The sequence below is a fragment of the Homo sapiens genome, chromosome 6 (assembly GCF_000001405.40).
Source record: "Homo sapiens chromosome 6, GRCh38.p14 Primary Assembly".
Lineage (NCBI taxonomy): Eukaryota > Metazoa > Chordata > Mammalia > Primates > Hominidae > Homo > Homo sapiens.
Genome location: NC_000006.12, coordinates 150,364,030 through 150,381,083, shown reverse-complemented (window position 1 = coordinate 150,381,083; position 17,054 = coordinate 150,364,030). Strand labels below are relative to the sequence as shown.

Sequence of the window (17,054 nt, the reverse complement as noted above, 5' to 3'; positions counted from 1 at the left end):
ATCATTTGTGGAAAATAAACTTCCTGTTGCTCACATCCCCTCACCAGGCTGATGAGGGAAGAAGACAGTGTAAAATTGTAAACCTCTGACGATTTTCCTGTGCTGCCATGTCCCTGGATTCCATGGACCACTCTTTTTCAGAGCATAGGCATGAGTCTTTGGGGGAGAGGAGCTGAGCATGATCAAGTGAGGGGAACAGAGTTTGGGGAGGGGAGCCCAAAGGGAGGCCTATGACAGTGGCTCAAAAGACCTTTAGAAGGAAGAAGGGCTGCCCCAAATGCTAACATGCTGTTTGAGGAGTTGGGAAGTGAGAGACCAAAGAAACAAACAGAAACAAAGGTTGATTTCCACAGATAAATTGGTGTGAGGTGGAAGAAGAAAACACATAGAGGAAATCGGGGGTCCCTTGGGCATGAACCTCAGAGCCAGAGGTGGCTCCATAGACACAGGTTCTGTGGGGATTGTCAAATCTTTGAGAGGGAATTGGCCTCCTCAAAGCATGTAGGATTGAGGATTCAGCCTTTTTTAAATCTTATTTTTAGTTTATTTATTTTTTTCTAAATAGGATGAGCTCAGCTAACCCTTGGGTTATGTAAGTATTACACATTAGCTAAAAGAACAAAGCATGAAGAAGCAGCGCAAGTCCTAAAGTTGATCTGTTTTATATTAGTGGAACTAAACAACTTTCTTTTTTTAGACATCTGCTCAGGAAATGCCAATAGCAATGATTTTGCAGTGGTTGTTGTTGTGGTAGTGGTAGTGGTAGTTGTGGTGTTTTAGGGAGAGAATGGTGGTACAGTGGAATAAAAATCTCTGGTGGGTATGATTAGTTGGGAAAAAACAAGTTTTCAGGTTACAATTGTAATTTGCAAAACACCAAATACTATGTATAATGCAAATTACATTTGGTAAAGTTCTCAAAATCTTCCTGGAAGATGGAAATATACAAGTCATTCAACAAGGCTTTTATTGAGCCTTTGATATATATATTAGTGAACAAGACAGATGTGACTTTTATACTATAGGGGTGAAGGGGGAAAGCTTCCTCCCTCACTCTCTGAAGATTCACTGAAAATGAATTCACAAAAGACAGATTAATAGGAGAAAAAGCCATACAAAATTATTCTAACATGCATAGCATGGGGCAATAGCAAGAGAATGATCACTCAATAACCCAACGGGGTCCAAATGCTTATACACCCTTCTTTATAGAGGAAGAGGAGATGGGAGGTGTAGGAGTAATGAATTTCAGGGGGAATGAATGGACCCAATGATCAGATAATGGATAGTCAATAATTCCCTTTGGGAATTGAATGGGACCTGAGAACAAACAATGGTTTATGACAAAGTTTGCCTGGGCTCTAGGTGTGGTGTTTAATTTTCACTCTCTTCCTCTATGATATGAATTTTAATCTTCTCCGATTAGTAACATTTTAGGGAAAGGATTGAAGGTAACAATTTTCCTCTTTGGAACAATAACCTTATTCCTTATATATTTAAACAAAGCAGCAAATGTATGTATGCATAGAATTACAAACTGTAATCACTCCTATGAGGACAATTAATTCTCTATGAAGTGACAGAGAATAAGAAGGGATGGTACAAAGAGGGAGGACACAAAGTGATTCCCAAGGGGATGGCATGTAATGTGAAACTTGAGGAATAAGAAAGAGGCTGGGGATTCAAGTATATTTAGCAGACAATGTGAAAAACGCAGATCCATACAGACGCTGTAGACATAGCTTGACTGGGGGACGATGCTGGCTTGGACCCTTGGAGAAGCAGAAAGAATGACAGGGGTGTGCAGATTCTCGAAACACCTTAGAAATAGAAATCGAAAGACTGGCTAACATGGGTGGTTGAGAGTGGCTGAGAGAGAGAGGGAGGAACCAGGAATCAATGCCAGGTTTCTGGCTTTAGTGCCTGGTTAGATGATGGAACCATCCACTGAGCCAGGAGGACTAAGAGATGAACTATTGGGGGTGGGCAGGAAGGAGGAACAGGAGTCAACAGTCTGCCTGATTCCAGATGCTGCAAGCCATTCAAGTGCAGGTGTCAAGTACAAAAGGAAATGTGTGAGCTTTGAAGGTGAGATCCCATTTGGAGCCCTCTGGAAGCGATGAGCATGACCAGGAGGAATGAAAGGAAGAGTGGCACATTTTCTTAATCCAGTCTATCATTGTTGGACATTTGGGTTGGTTCCAAGTCTTTGCTATTGTGAATAGTGCCACAATAAACATACGTGTGCATGTGTCTTTATAGCAGCATGATTTATAGTCCTTTGGGTATATACCCAGTAATGGGATGGCTGGGTCAAATGGTATTTCTAGTCCTAGATCCCTGAGGAATCGCCACACTGACTTCCACAATGGTTGAACTAGTTTACAGTCCCACCAGCAGTGTAAAAGTGTTCATATTTCTCCACATCCTCTCCAGCACCTGTTGTTTCCTGACTTTTTGATGATTGCCATCCTAACTGGTGTGAGATGGTATCTCATTGTGGTTTTGATTTGCATTTCTCTGATGGCCAGTGATGGTGAGCACATATACACCATGCAGCCATAAAAAATGATGAGTTCATGTCCTTTGTAGGGACATGGATGAAATTGGAAATCATTATTCTCAGTAAACTATTGCAAGGACAAAAAACCAAACACCGCATGTTCTCACTTATAGGTGGGAATTGAACAGTGAGAACACATGGACACAGGAAGGGGAACATCACACTCTGGGGACTGTTGTGGGGTGGGGGGAGCGGGGAGGGATCGCATTAGGAGATATACCTAATGCTAAATGACGAGTTAATGGGTGCAGCGCACCAGCATGGCACATGTATACATATGTAACTAACCTGCACATTGTGCACATGTACCCTAAAACTTAAAGTATAATAATAATAAAATAAAATAAAATAAAAAGAAAGGAAGAGTGGAAGAAGGTCAAAGACCCGCCCTGAGGGACTTGGCCATTCTCCAGGTGGAATTCAGGTAGAGAATTCACCTTCTGAGGAACACCAATAACAACGTTAGCAGGCGCTACTTTTGGCTTATAGCTCTTAGTGAGGAAACTTCCTTTTATATTTCTCTAGCAGGGACAGTTTGGGCCTATTTAGAAGAAAGTATGTGTGATGGGGGAGTGGTAATAAACATCTATCAACTTTCTAACAATCAGTCCTGGCCCAGCGAAATGCCAATGTCATGAACGTCACAGTGACAACTCTGAACTTTATCAAGGTGTCAATAAAGACTTTCAACACCAATGATACTTTTGACACCATTTAAGATGAAGTCTGGCAGCCTCTGTAGTTAATAAGTGGTATATAAGCAAATGCATTAAATGCTTCCTTAACTCTTTGAAAGGTAAGTTACTAAGTCTTAAGACCCATTCAGCACTTGTAAAAACTGAAAGCAGTCTAAATGCATGACTTGGCAGTTTCCACAGCTTCTAGAGTCCAAGGCAGACTCTCCTAATTAGCAGAAGGAAGCAAACTGTTACCTCATTATCAGTGCTAACCATTATCCCTGACTAGGGAATGGTCAAACAAATGATCCTCATCACCTCCTGATGGGATTGTCCTGAGTGCACTCTCGGAGCAGTGCACAGCCGGGCTGCCATTCCTGGAGCCTTTCACAGGGCAGAAGGTCTATACTATGGCTGGGGAATGAGACTAGCAGGGCTGGGCTAGGAGCACAGTGAGCTTCCACTTGTCCCCTTCTCTTGAACTCCTGACTGCTCCCGAGGAATGTGGCCCTCAGCCAGAGGCAAGAGAGCAGACTGTGTAACCCCTTTGTTTTCCTGCCTTCACTCTAGAGCAGTGGAGCCACTAGGGATTATTCAAGCTCGAAGGTCCACACAGTGCAAAGCAAATGTATACTATTATGGTCTGCTTTTTGAATGAAATCTTGTGCTGCCACACTTGGAACTTGCTATTGATACCAACAGTAACTTGCCTTGTATCTTTGCACTGGGGGTCTGCAAACAATACCCTAAAATACTGACACTTGGCACTTGACCTGGTGAACTGAAGAAGCACCTCCAGGTCTCCCTCTGACCTGCCTGGTCTCTGGTCTCTCTGATCCTTTTTCCTGAAGCACTGAGAGAGACTCTTTCTGGAATTTCGCTATCTGACTAGGGGCATTTCTTTCCAAAAGAAATGTAATTAGGATGTGCCCAGTGGCTCATGCCTGTAATCTCAGCACTTTGGGAGGCTGAGGTAGGAGGATTGCTTGAGCCCAGGAGTTCGAGACCAGCCTGGGCAACATAGAGAGACCCTGTCTTTACAAAAAGTCTAAAAATTAGGCATGGTGGTGTGTGCCTGTAGTCCTAGCTACTCAAGAGGCTGAGGTGGGAGGATAGCTTGAGTCCAGGAGTTTGAGGTTTCAGTGAGCTATGATCATGCCACTGCACTCCAGCCTGGGCAACAAAGCAATACCCCATCTATTAAGAAAAGAAAAGAAGAAGATGAAGAAATGTAATTGTCTTAAGATCCCTTGCCTGGGAATCCAGGCAGACAGAGACAACCTGGGGAACTTTACCTGCATAATGAGAAGACTTTTGTTCACAGTGAAGTTCCACCCCTCGCCTTCCCACTGCCTCTCATAAGCTCAAGGAACTTCATCCCAAGGCATTGTTCTTTGGACCCATTCATTTTCCCTGAAAGTCATTTACTCCTACACACTCCCACCATCCCCTCATCCCCTATGAAGAAGGATATATAAGCATCTGGACCCCACTGGGTTATTGGCGATTCCCCAGTGCTTATACATGTTAAATAAATCTGTATGCCTTTCCTTCTATTAATCTGTCTCTTGTCAGTTCATTTTCAGTGAACCTTCAGAGGGCAGAGGAGAAATTTCTTTTCATATTTCGCTAGCAGGAGCAGTTTTGGCCCAAACTGTATACTTTTAGTTAGAAGGAAGTAGATGTGAAGGGGGAGTGGTAATACACCTTATCAGCTTTCTAGCAATCAGTCCCTTGGTCCCTACAATCGCTTTAATGCCAAGGAATCCGTTAATTGTGCCATAATTAGGTTTAGCCAGCCAAGTAATTCTAGGTCACTTCTATCTTTTCACATTTAGCATGGAAGTGTTTTTCTGGTTACATCTCCAAATACATTGCTTTAGTGTTTTTACAGTTCTACTACACAGTCTTTGCAAATGGACCACTATTTTCTAATCAAGAAACCAAGGACAATTTGTGTCACATCATCCTTGTTCCCTTCTTGCAATTTTGGAAGCCTTGAGGAGTGATGTTACTAAGGAGGAGGGTGATGCAGATTTTGAAGGTGAGGATGGGAGCCACTTCAGGGCTCAGCATCTGCCCCGACAATGCCTCTTTCCCAGCTGCTTCACCATTGCTGTGCTCCCTACCTGGGCCTCTCAGTCATCCCACTTCCTGTGAGGCCATCCTCATAGGGCTAACAAGAATTATGGACAGAAGTAGTTATAATCAAGCATTCATCAGGCTGCTTTGACCCACTTCCTTGTTCTGAAAGTCTCATAGCACTAGTAGATACTGACCGTTTGCATCCCCGCTGTTCCTATGCATAGAATTTCTGACATGAGAGTCACAAGGCTTTTGTTTGAGATAGATAGGATCTATCCATCACGATCATAAGGCTTTTATTTAAAAACTACTTAAAATGTTTTTCAGATCCGAATTCCAGTGAAATAGCTGATGCCAACCAGTTTGAAGACTCCCATAATGCAGTGGAATCAGCATGAGAATACAGTTTCTTCATCTCCCTGTCCCATGACTTCACCCTGCGCTCTGACCAATCAGTGACCTCCACACTTTGGCCCACCCCAAAACTCTAAAAAATCCTAGCTCCAAACTCCTCAGGGAAATGGATTTAAGGTTTCCTCCTGTCCCTTCATTCAGCAGCCTTATGATTAAACCTCTTTCTCTGTTGCAACCTGATGTCTCAGTGTATTGACTTGCTGTGTGCATCGAGCAACAGAACTATTAAGGTGACATCTGGCTGCTGTATAGATGGATTATTTCATTAGTAGCACTGAGGTGGGTAGGGATTGGGAAGGCTGAAGGGTGCCCAGAAAGAGACACCTTGAATAGGGAAGTGCTTTCCTAAAGCCAGTGGGGTTCAGAACATATTACCCCAAAGCATGCCAACTTCAGAGCAAAAAGGGCTTTCTGACCTTCCACTGCCCTTCTTTCCTGAAGCAGGTCATAAAATCTAGGAAGAATTTCCTGACCCTCCCCTGAGGCAGGTCATATGGCACCCAAGTAAGAGGTGCCCACCCAGAGGAAAGGAGCATTCTCATCTCTGAGGATGTTAGGGACACAGAGAAGAATCTGAACAAATACATATTGCAAAGTGATATGGTTTGGCTGTGTCGCTACCCAAATCTCATCTTGAATTGTAGCTCCCATAATTCCCATGTGTTGTGGGAGGGACCTAGTGGGAGGTAATTGAATCATGGGGGCAGTTTCCCCCATACTGTTCTTGTGGTAGTGAATAAGTCTCAGGAGAGCTGATGGTTTTATAAGGGGAAGCCCCTTTCGCTTGATTCTCATTCCCTCTTTGCCTGCCACCACGTAGGCTATGCCTTTCACCTTCTACCATGATTGCGAGGCATCTCTAGCCACATGGAACTGTGAGTCCATTAAATCTTTTTCTTTATAAATTACTGAGTCTCAGGTATGTCTTTATCAGCAGTGTGAAAACAGACTAATACACTAAGTTTCCCCAGTTTATTGCCATTAGACCACGTTAGACCATAGCCCCTCTGTCCTCTTGTATGTCTCCACGACTGTTCACTTTTTGCCAAACCTAGCATGAAAACACACAGGTTTAACTGTTCCTTTGGATCTTCATTTCCCTATGAAGGCTCCTGTGTCACATGAAACTTATGCTAAATAAACATGTATACTTTTCTGTTATTCTGTCTTTTGTTACAGGGGCCTCAGCCATGAACCTAGATTGGGTAGAGGAAAAGGTATTTTTATCTTCCTCTCCAAAGCAGTGGAGTGAAGACAGGATTTGTCTTCTGAGACCCTTTATCTCTTTGGGTACCCCAGTGTCCCCTGCTGACCCTAACTTTCCCCTAGTAGGAACCCACCCAGACTTGATCTCAAGAACAATGTCTTCATTCAAGTCCTTTTCCTTTCCTACTCTTCTCTCATCTAAACTTGCCTGTCTCTTATTCTAAAAGCTTAAGGTCTTACAGGAGTCTAGCAAACCAACCTCTTAAATTAGCCATGTGAAAGTATTAATGTCTAGGTGTGTCTAAGACAAAGCTGATTGCATTGCTTCCCATAGTAAAAGACAACTATGTTGATCAAGCTCGACTCTCTGAGCAGAGTAGAATGCTGACTTAATATAGAATTTTTGGCAGTGGTGGGCTGGTAAGCCAACTCTTTGTGGGGTGGAAGGGAGAAAGCACTGATTCATAGCACTTGCCAGTATCCACTGATGTAAATAATCACACCATGGCGTGACTTCAAGCCACTAATGATTTAACAAAAAACTCCTAAATATTTAACAGTTGGCTCCTGCTAATCCCCAGAGACTCGCCCTAGTATGCTACTTGGTTGGGGAGCATGAAGTTCAGGCACTGGTGGACTTTCAGAGCTGCAAGTGGCACACATCATTTGTAGGATCAGTGTCATTTGGTTGAGACTCTGACACTCAGAGGAGCTGGCCCTGGAGTGAGTGCACCCCTGGTTGGCTGGCTTTCAGAAGCATGAGGCTGACACTGATTGGTTAGCTTGCCAAGTTTATTCTGAAATGAGTTGTCATTGATTCACTGCTCAGGCTTGGAACCAGTTTTGAAAGCTACTTGTTATTATGGGCACATAACAATCTGTTTCTCAAGTTTGTAGGAACATTTTTGTTCTCAGATGTTACTCACACTGGATAAAAAATTTTAACTCAGGCCTTTCTTAGAAAAGACTGGACAAGTTGGGTCACTTATTATTCAGCTAGTGACTTCAGTTAGAATAATAGCTTTTGGATGGCCAGTGAAGCTAAGTGCAGAAGAATCCCCCACTAACACTAAAACAGATTCATCTTGATGAGATGTGTTTCCTATCTTTTTCTTCTTTTCCCATTTCTATGGACTTCTATGAATCTGAGCCTAACTAGAGGATTTGTGGGTAGGATTTTCAGTTCACTTTACTGGGACAATCTGAGACTTATTTCTTTGAGATAAACTTCAGCAACTCTTCTTTCTTGGACCCTAACTGTAGACAAACAAGGTATTAACAGGACACCAACCTTGGCTGGTTTGCAAAGGGAGACTGTACCCTACATCTAATAAGCATGGTCACACAATGTTCCCTCACCACCCCCACCCCACCCACACACACATACACATGTATAACAAGCATGGTCACACAATGTTCCCTCACCACCCCCAACACACCCCCACACACACATGTCTAATAAGCATGGACACACAATGTTCCCTCACCACCCCCACCCCACCCATACACACACATGTCTAACAAGCATGGACCAACACAATGTTCCCTCACCACCCCCCACACCGCCCACACACACACATGTCTAATAAGCATGGACACAACATGACCCCTCAGCACTCCCCACCCCACCCCCCCACACACATGTCTAATAAGCATGGACACACAATGTTCCCTCACCACCCCCCACCCCACCCACACACACACATGTCTAATAAGCATGGACACAACATGACCCCTCAGCACTCCCCACCCCACCCCCACACACACATGTCTAATAAGCATGGACACACAATGTTCCCTCACCACCCCCCACCCCACCCACACACACATGTCTAATAAGCATGGTCACACAATGACCCCTCACCACCCCACAACCCACCCACACACACACATGCCGATTCTCTGACCTGTGAACATGCAGTAGGAATTCTTTGTGAATCAGAGCTGCAGGAGGTTGGATGGGTACCCATATTTTCCTTAACTCATGCTAGAATGGCCTACAATACTTATTTTACCATTTAATACCTTGTTAATATTAAAAATGGTTTCAATCTGGTATCTATTTGCAGTCAACAACACCAACTCCATGTGTCTTCAGTAAAGGAGTCCGTTCTCTTCTCCAGTTAGCTCCTGCTCAATCCCTTCTGGACCTAGAGTAATATCCCCACGTAGATCATGTCCAACCACCCTGTGACTGAGAGCAGGGACTTGGGGGGCTGAGAAGCCTGAGTTTAAGCATTGGTTCTCACTGGTCACCTGTGTGACCTTGGCATGCACCACTTATGTAAACAACATAAGAGATGTGGAGTAAATCATTTCATCTTCATGACAATACAATGAGGTAGGCCCTATTAGAATCCCCATACAAGAGATCTGTGGACACCACACTCAGGGCAGACTTTGTCCCAGCTGCTAAGGACGACACTAAGGCTGTCCTGTTCATTCCTCTGTATAAAGATAAGACAAGGATGAGGATGGCAGGGAACAGAGAATGAAGAGGCAAAGCATTTTGCAAAAGTAAGTGATCAGGCAGAGAGCCAGAGAAAGGCCCTCCAGTTCTGCTCTATGTTCCCAGCCTCCAGGCCCAGCCCCAGGACCTGACCCTCAACAGCCTGCCCGAGCTCTCCTGTGTCCTCAAACCTCTTGGGTCTTCAAATCCAGTGGCCTTTCCTTGATGCACACTCTTTCTGGTCTCTCAGAGAATGTTGGTCCCTGCTGGCTATCTCCTGCCTCCTCCATTCTAGGTCATTCTCCCAGGGGAGAGGCAGCCCAGCAAACAGCTGGCTTGGGTCCTATCTCTGCAATCACCTTCCTGAGCTTACCCTATTGGGGCCTCAATTTCCTTATCTGTAATATGGGGATTCTAATAGTGCCTACCTCATTGTACTGTCATGAAGATGAAATGATTTACTACACATAATATGTGGCTGTGATTGCATACATTAAGAGCTATTAATATATAAGGGCTTGTTACTGTTATGATCCCAGAGCCCCCTTTCCCACAGCTCCTCCCTTTCTCTAGTACATTTTTCTTCCACAGTTCCTCTTAACCGCATGTGTCCCTCAAGTTCTATCCTCAGCCTTCTCTCTAGCAATGCCCACTTTGTGGATTCATTATTTCTCCAGGTTCCAAGTATCTTCCCCATACTGGTGACTCTCCAGTCAGTATCTGTGGCCTGGGCCCCTAACATAGACTGCTGTCTCCCTTTTCTGCTCAGGTGTGTCACTGTCGTCTGAAATCAAACATGTCCTCGATGGAACTCAACATCTTCCCCTTTAAGCTGGATCCTCATTCCCTCACCCACTTATGATAGCTTCCAGTCTCCAACTCTCCCTCTCTCCTCCTTTTCCCAATATCCAATTTACTAGCAAACCCTGTTGCTCTTCCATTAACTTTACTCTGATCCACGCCTTCCACTGCATTCCCACCTGCCCCCACCATCCAGGCCATCCTTACCAGCACAAACCATTACCCAGCTTCACAGCAGATGTTCCCTGGATTAAGGGAAGTGCTTCTCCGCTGGGTAGAATTGACGTTCTGAGTGGAAGAGGTTTCAATGTAGGAGAGCAAGAGGCAGCCCTGCTGAGAGGCTAGACTCCTGTACGGTGCAGTCAGCACTACAGGCTGTTAGCACTGAGAGCCAGCTGGACACCCTGCGCCCCGGTCCTGAGATTAGGACACACACTCATGCACACACTCTCTCACAAACACACTCATGCGCACGCACACACACATTCATGCATGCACACACAAACTCATGCATGCTCACACACACTCATGCACACACGTGCACACTCACACGCACACTCACCCACTCGTGCACACACACTCATGCACACACACTCACACATGCACATTAATGAACACTCACATGCACGCGCACACACATCCACTCTCATGCACACACACACACGCACGCGCACACACACATGCACATTCATAAACACACACTCTCACACACATACACTCACACACACTCACATGTCCAGGTGGCCTCTGTTTGGGGATGGGGGCATCATTAGCCCAGCTGAAGATCACAGAGCCTCTTCCAAATCGAACCCATCCCAGACAAAGCTTCTCAAACACAGATGGCTCAAGCTTCCTCCACGCTCTCTCCCTTCCTACCTGCCTCCTTCATCACCTCTTCTTCTCAAGGTGGCCATAACCTTCCCGCCCTCAATTCTCTACTTCCATTCTTACCCTCTCCCTCCACCCTCAATTCTCCACTTCCTCTCTTACCCCTGCCCCAGGCCTCCAGGTGCTTCTGCTCCTTTGGCTCCTTGTTGCCTGACAGGCCTCCCAGCACTTGCTATTTGTACCCTATTCATCCTCCCAGCCTGGTTTGTCCTTTCCCTGACTGCACCGTCAAACTCCCAGGCCTACTCTAAACACCTTAGAATCAGTTCCACCGGGTCTGTCTCTTTGTTACTCTCTCTGATTCTAGTGTATCATCTTGGCAGCTGAACTGGACATTCAGTTTGTTGAGGACAGAGGCCATCCCAGGCTTTCACTTCCAGGGCCTGGCACAGGGAAAGGTAGCAGCCTCCTAGGTGATGCCACTTGGTAGATTTCAAAGTTCCTGATCAAAACCTGGCCTCTTAGTCCCTGCCCACTGCCAGCCTGGGATGAATTCCTGCAGAAAGATTTTAACAACCAGAACAGAATTGTAGCCAGGGAAAACTTCAGCCTCTCAACAGCTTTTTCACTGGGCATCAAAAATAAAAAAGGGTTGGTCCCAGCAGGTGACAAGCTCATCACTGGAGAGAGATGACCTGTCTGTGCCAAGCACTGATTCATTAGCACAATAGAGGTTGATGTTGAAGCTGGCCTGTGTGTGTTTCTTCCTCTCCATAAGCCCTGCCATTGACTCACACTCATCATCAACACAACACGACAGCGAAGCTAAGCAGCATAGCTGGTGTCTTTACCTTCTTCTGCTTGGTGCAGGTCACTGCTGTCTTTTAAGTCTTCATCCACCCAGGGGCGAGCTTCGGCCCTGGTTCTAGGCTCCCCCTTCTTTTTCTCCATGCTTCTGTCGGCATTTTTAAAGATCCACACAACCAAAATGCAGAGAATGGCTACCAAGATGGGAGTCAGGAAATACATGGTCTGGAGTCTGACGTCACAGGCGTGCACACTTCCCACACCGGTTTTTAAACACACAGAGACAGGAGTGGAGAATGCCGGGAGATAGAAGGAATGCAGACACAGGTGTGCCAGGGAAGGAACAAAGTGCAGAACTCTTCAACTCTGTGAGGACTTTGCAAAGGAGCAAAGATCACAGTCACATGTGTGGGGTGTTGTGGCTTTGGTTATACACCAGTCCATTAACTTTTTAAAAGTATGTACTCTGTCGATATATTCTTAGACAACAATTGCCAGAATCTGAGTAAGAACTTGCATGTGCTAGATCTAGCTAGATCACCTGAAGAACTTGTTTTTGTTTTTGTTTTTTTTAAATAGATTTCCACACACCAACTCAGATCTGCTGGAAGAAAATGTTCAGGAAAGAGGTTTGGCACCATGCATTTTAAATGGCATATTTGTGAAAACAGCCCTAGGGTTTTGATTTTTTTTTTATGATACCTGAGCCAATATATGGAGTAAAGAGAATATCATGTTTTGCATCAGAGAAAAACTTTGATCCAGGAAAAGTGACACAAAAAATTAAAGTGACAACTTGATTATGTAATTACTTCAGTAGGGCTTTTTATGTGTTAGTTTGTCTGTCTGTTTTAGAAAGTGCCTTAGTCAGTTATGGCTGAAATAACAAAAATACTATGGACCGGGTGGCTTAAACAATATAAATTTATTTCTCAGCCAGGTATGGTGGCTCATGCCTATAATCCCGGCACTTTGGGAGGCTGAGAGGGGCAGATCACTTGAGGTCAGGAGTTCGAGACCAGCCTGGCCAACATGATGAAACCCCATCTCTACTAAAAATACAAAAATTAGTTGGGCCTGGTGGTACATGCCTGCAAACACAGCTACTCAGGAGGCTGAGGCAGGAAAATAGCTCCACCCAGGAGGTGGAGGTTGCAGTGAGCCGAAATTGTGCCATTGCACTCCAGCCTGGGCGACAAGAGTGAAAGTTCCTCTAAAAAAAAAAAAAGAAAGAAAGAAGAAGAAGAAGAAAAAGAAAAGAAAAGAAAGAAAGAAAGAAAGAAAGAAAGAAAGAAAGAAAGAAAGAAAGAAAGAAATTTATTTATCATTTATTTATCATAGTTCTGGAGGTTGAGAAGTCCATAATTAAGGTGCTGGCAAATCAGCTCCTGGTGAGGGCTCCCCTCCTGGTTTGCCAACAGGTGCCTTCTTGCTGTAACCTCACACAGTGGATGGTGGAAACAGATCATCTCTATCATCTTTTTTCTTATAAGGCCACTAATCTCATTAATGAGGGCTCCACTCTCATCACCTGTTCACCTCCCAAAGGCCCAACCTCCAAATACCATTGTACTGGGGCTTAGGGCTCCAACACATGAATTTTGCCAAGACATATTCAGTCTTTAGCATCAAGGTGCAAACGTATGTATAACATGATGCCATTTGAATAAAACAGAGTGGAAAATATGATACATTTATACAAACTTATATATGTATTTCCTGGAAAAGCATACTCTAAGGAGCGGTTATATCAGGAATTCTCTTTATTAATTTTGCAATTTCTTGTGAGTCTATATTATTTCAAAATAAACAGTGAAAAAAACAGTGGTTACTTGTTTTGGAGGGAGTGTGGAAACTGGATAGATGGGGGACAAGGGTGAGAGAATTTCTACTGAATACTATTCCATAATTTAAGTATTTTGAGCTGTTGTAAATATATTATCTATTTAAAAAATTGAATATGTGTTATTTATTTCAATACTCATTTTGATGGTTTTATTGTATCATATATTGTAATACTCCTTTTTGTGATAGACAGTTGTTTTTTAAGATGTATATCATATTGGTTCTCTAACTCCAGAGAACTCTGTAGAAGATAATAAACAAAGTTTATTATGGAAGCACTGGCCTCCACAGACCATTGAATTTGGTGGTGCTGCCTGCCATGCCGACAGCTTTTGTACAGGAAAGTGCCCTCCCTGTGCCTGCTGAAAGGGTGTCAGAGGGGACATGTCCAGTCCATGTGATCCAACCCCACGCAGGCAGCTGAAAATGGCAGAGCCTGTGTTGGGGCCCAGCTTCTCTTTACATCCCACTAAAAACACAGAATAAAGAAACCACTCCATAGCAAGAGAAGAGCAAGACAAATGTGCAGAGAGAAGCAAGGCCTGCAAGGCAGCAATGCCTCACAGCTCAGGGGAAGGACAAGGTGAGGGCCATGGGTGGCAACTGCCTCTGCTCCTAGGAGGTCCCAGGCCTGCCTCGGTTTCAGCCCATGTGTCTCCTTACCTTCGAAGAATCAGAAAGATCCTCGGTGCCTGTAACTACAAAAGCACAATTCATATCAGTGTCAGGAACAGGATTAAGCCCAGGAAAAATGGGGTGGTGGGAATTGGTTTTAGTGCACTAGTGGGTGAAGTCTGGGAGGCACCCCCATCTCAGAAGGGAATGCTAACAGCTGTGGCATGCAGCAGCTGGCTGGCTAATTGAGTATTGCCTGAGTCTCTTGGGTTTCAGACCATGTGCCCAGCAGAATGAGTCTGTAGGGGATTCTGAAGCCACTGAGAGCCCCGGAGGAGCTGAAACATAAGGACAACCATGCCAGAAGGCAGCTTTCCATCATGTTTGGTGACTTGCAATGGGAAAGAAAAGATTCTTGCTCTGAATTGCTTGGTTCAAGATAGAGAAGAAAAGCAAAATGACCATGCATTCCTTCATTCATTCATTCACTCATTCATTCAAAATATATTTTTTGGGATCCATGCAAAAGGCATTGCATTTGGGGCCAGAAATAGAACGGAGGGCAGTAGGGGCTGCACATGCTCATGGAGGCAGGAGCCACAGAGAGACAAGCGGATCGAATCTCATATACTAATGCCACATTCCAACTTCCCTAAGAGCTGCTAGGGAGCTGACTGGAGTGTGACTGGGCTGAGTTGGTGAAATCAGAGGCTTCCCAGAGGAAGGAATGGCTGAGTTGAGGTCGGAGCTGTGAGTGGGAATCAGTCATGGGGCAGGAGAGAGCCTTCCAGGCAGAGGTCATGGTGTGCAGCAGGATAATTAAGGCATCAGAGATGGGTTGAGGAGGAATTATTTAATTATTTAGGTGCACTGACCCAGTCAGATTAACATCCAAAAGACTGAGCCCCCAACAAAGAGTCAAGCTACCTTTTAAGCATTTTGTGGGGTGGGGGGAGATTTGTGCAGGGGGAAGTGTATTACAGAAACGAGAAACAAAGACAGTTATTCAATTAAGACATGCATTACATTATTTCTTACTTTTCAAGGAACAGCATGTTTTGTGACTTGAGATTATCTGTCTAGTGACCTTGCAGCTGCACAGCTAGAGAAACAGGGTCTTCACAATGCCTGGGAAAGGGGGAGATAAGGCTCACTAGCCTCAGAAAAACAGGCAGTCAATTTTTAAAGGATTTCAGCTCTTTCTCTTCCTCAGGGGGAATTGGTTTTTCTTACATACAATTGAGTTTTGCTTACACATTTTTAAATTTCTTTTAATTCCGTTCCAGGTGTGGGCAAAGGCCTATGCCTTGGAAGGAACAGGTACATATGGAGAGGATTGACAGGAGCTGAGCATTTCAGGAGGGCATAAACAGGGGATGCAGGAAGCCAGAGAGGTAGCAAAATGCCCGATGAGGCAGGTCTCTCTAGGTCATGCTGGTAAATTCTTTCTTCACCCTAAATGGAATGTGGGGAGGGAACAGTGACAGGTTGAGAATTGGGGACACATCTAGCACACACCATGTGGTACCAGGTTCTCTTCTTAGTACTTCTACATATTATCTCATATGTGCCTCACAACAACCCTGTGCAATAGATCCCATTAGTATCCTCATTTTTTCAAATGAAGAAAATGAAGTACAAATAGGCCTAGGGTCAGTGTCAGATAAATGGGCAGAAATAGCCCCTGTGTGTATCCCCCTGGAATGGCTACCCCGTTGTTCACTTCTTCATAGCAAGCCAGAGTCCTTGGCCAGAGCCCGTCAGTGCCACACCGGCCTGGCTGGGGAATGGAAAGTGGGAGGTGCAGGTTTCTTGCACAGATGCAAGAGGTACAGGTACTTGGCATCGTGTGGCTCCAGCTTAGCTTAGGAGAAATACAGAAAAGAGGTTTAAAATGCATATAGCATAGAGGAAAAGAATTGGCAGATGCTACCAGGGGGCAAAGGGTAGCAGGAACAGGTAGTGGAGAGGGGCAGGGCAGGTCACGGTGATGCCAGGACGGGAGGCACACAGCCCCGGAGCTCTGGTGTCCACACTGCTTTATATTCCAAAGCACCTGCAGGGCCAGTGAAGTGCTTCCTTCCCAGGACTCTCGCTCTTGGATTTCCACGATGCCATCCCTGCCTCCTTCTTGATGTGGATTCCCATAATGCTAACCTGAGCTAGACCCCTAGTTCTCCATATCCAACCCATCTCCATGGCCAGGCCTCTCTTTCACGGTCAAGTCAAGATAGCAAATGCCTTGTGGTCCCCACCAAGCTTGATTGGTAAAGGCCTCTGCTAATATCAGGGTTTCCATTTGGTTTTACCTTAGAAGAAGAGCTGTGGTTGGGGGCATAGTAAGTTGCCACACTGCTGACTTGTGGAAGGCCCAACTATCTCTCTACTCTGAGTAGCTCTAAAGCATCCTGGTCAACTTGTCTTCCCAATACGTTTTTCTCATCAGCTGAGGAAAAGGAAGGGTGTGCTACGGATGGATGCTTTGGAAGATGGTATGAAACACTTTCACACTGGTTGTGTTTCATTATTTACTTCAGATTGGTTGTCTGGTTTAATCATTTCATTTCCACTGATGACAGAAAATTTAATTTTGCTATCAAGACAATTTTGGCTAGGCACGGTGGCTCATGACTGTAATCCCAGTGATTTGGGAGGCCGAGGCAAGAGGATTACTTGAGGCCAGGAGTTTGAGACCAGCCTGTCAACATAGCAAGACCTCATCTCTACCAAAATAAAAAATAAAAAAATTAGCCAGGCATGGTGG

General features: G+C 44.8%; 1 protein-coding gene across 5 annotated transcripts in view; it reads right to left on the bottom strand.

Moving 5' to 3' along the window:
* IYD (iodotyrosine deiodinase) overlaps positions 1-12,072 on the bottom strand; it is a 36,958-nt gene extending 24,886 nt beyond the window's left edge. For all 5 annotated transcript variants that reach the window (NR_134655.2, NM_001164695.2, NM_001164694.2 and 2 more), the window contains exon 1: positions 11,875-12,072. Coding sequence is in view for 3 of the 5 variants with exons in the window: in NM_001164695.2 (NP_001158167.1) it covers positions 11,875-12,052 (178 nt within the window). In the remaining 2 variants the exon portion in view is untranslated. The remainder of the gene's footprint in view (positions 1-11,874) is intronic.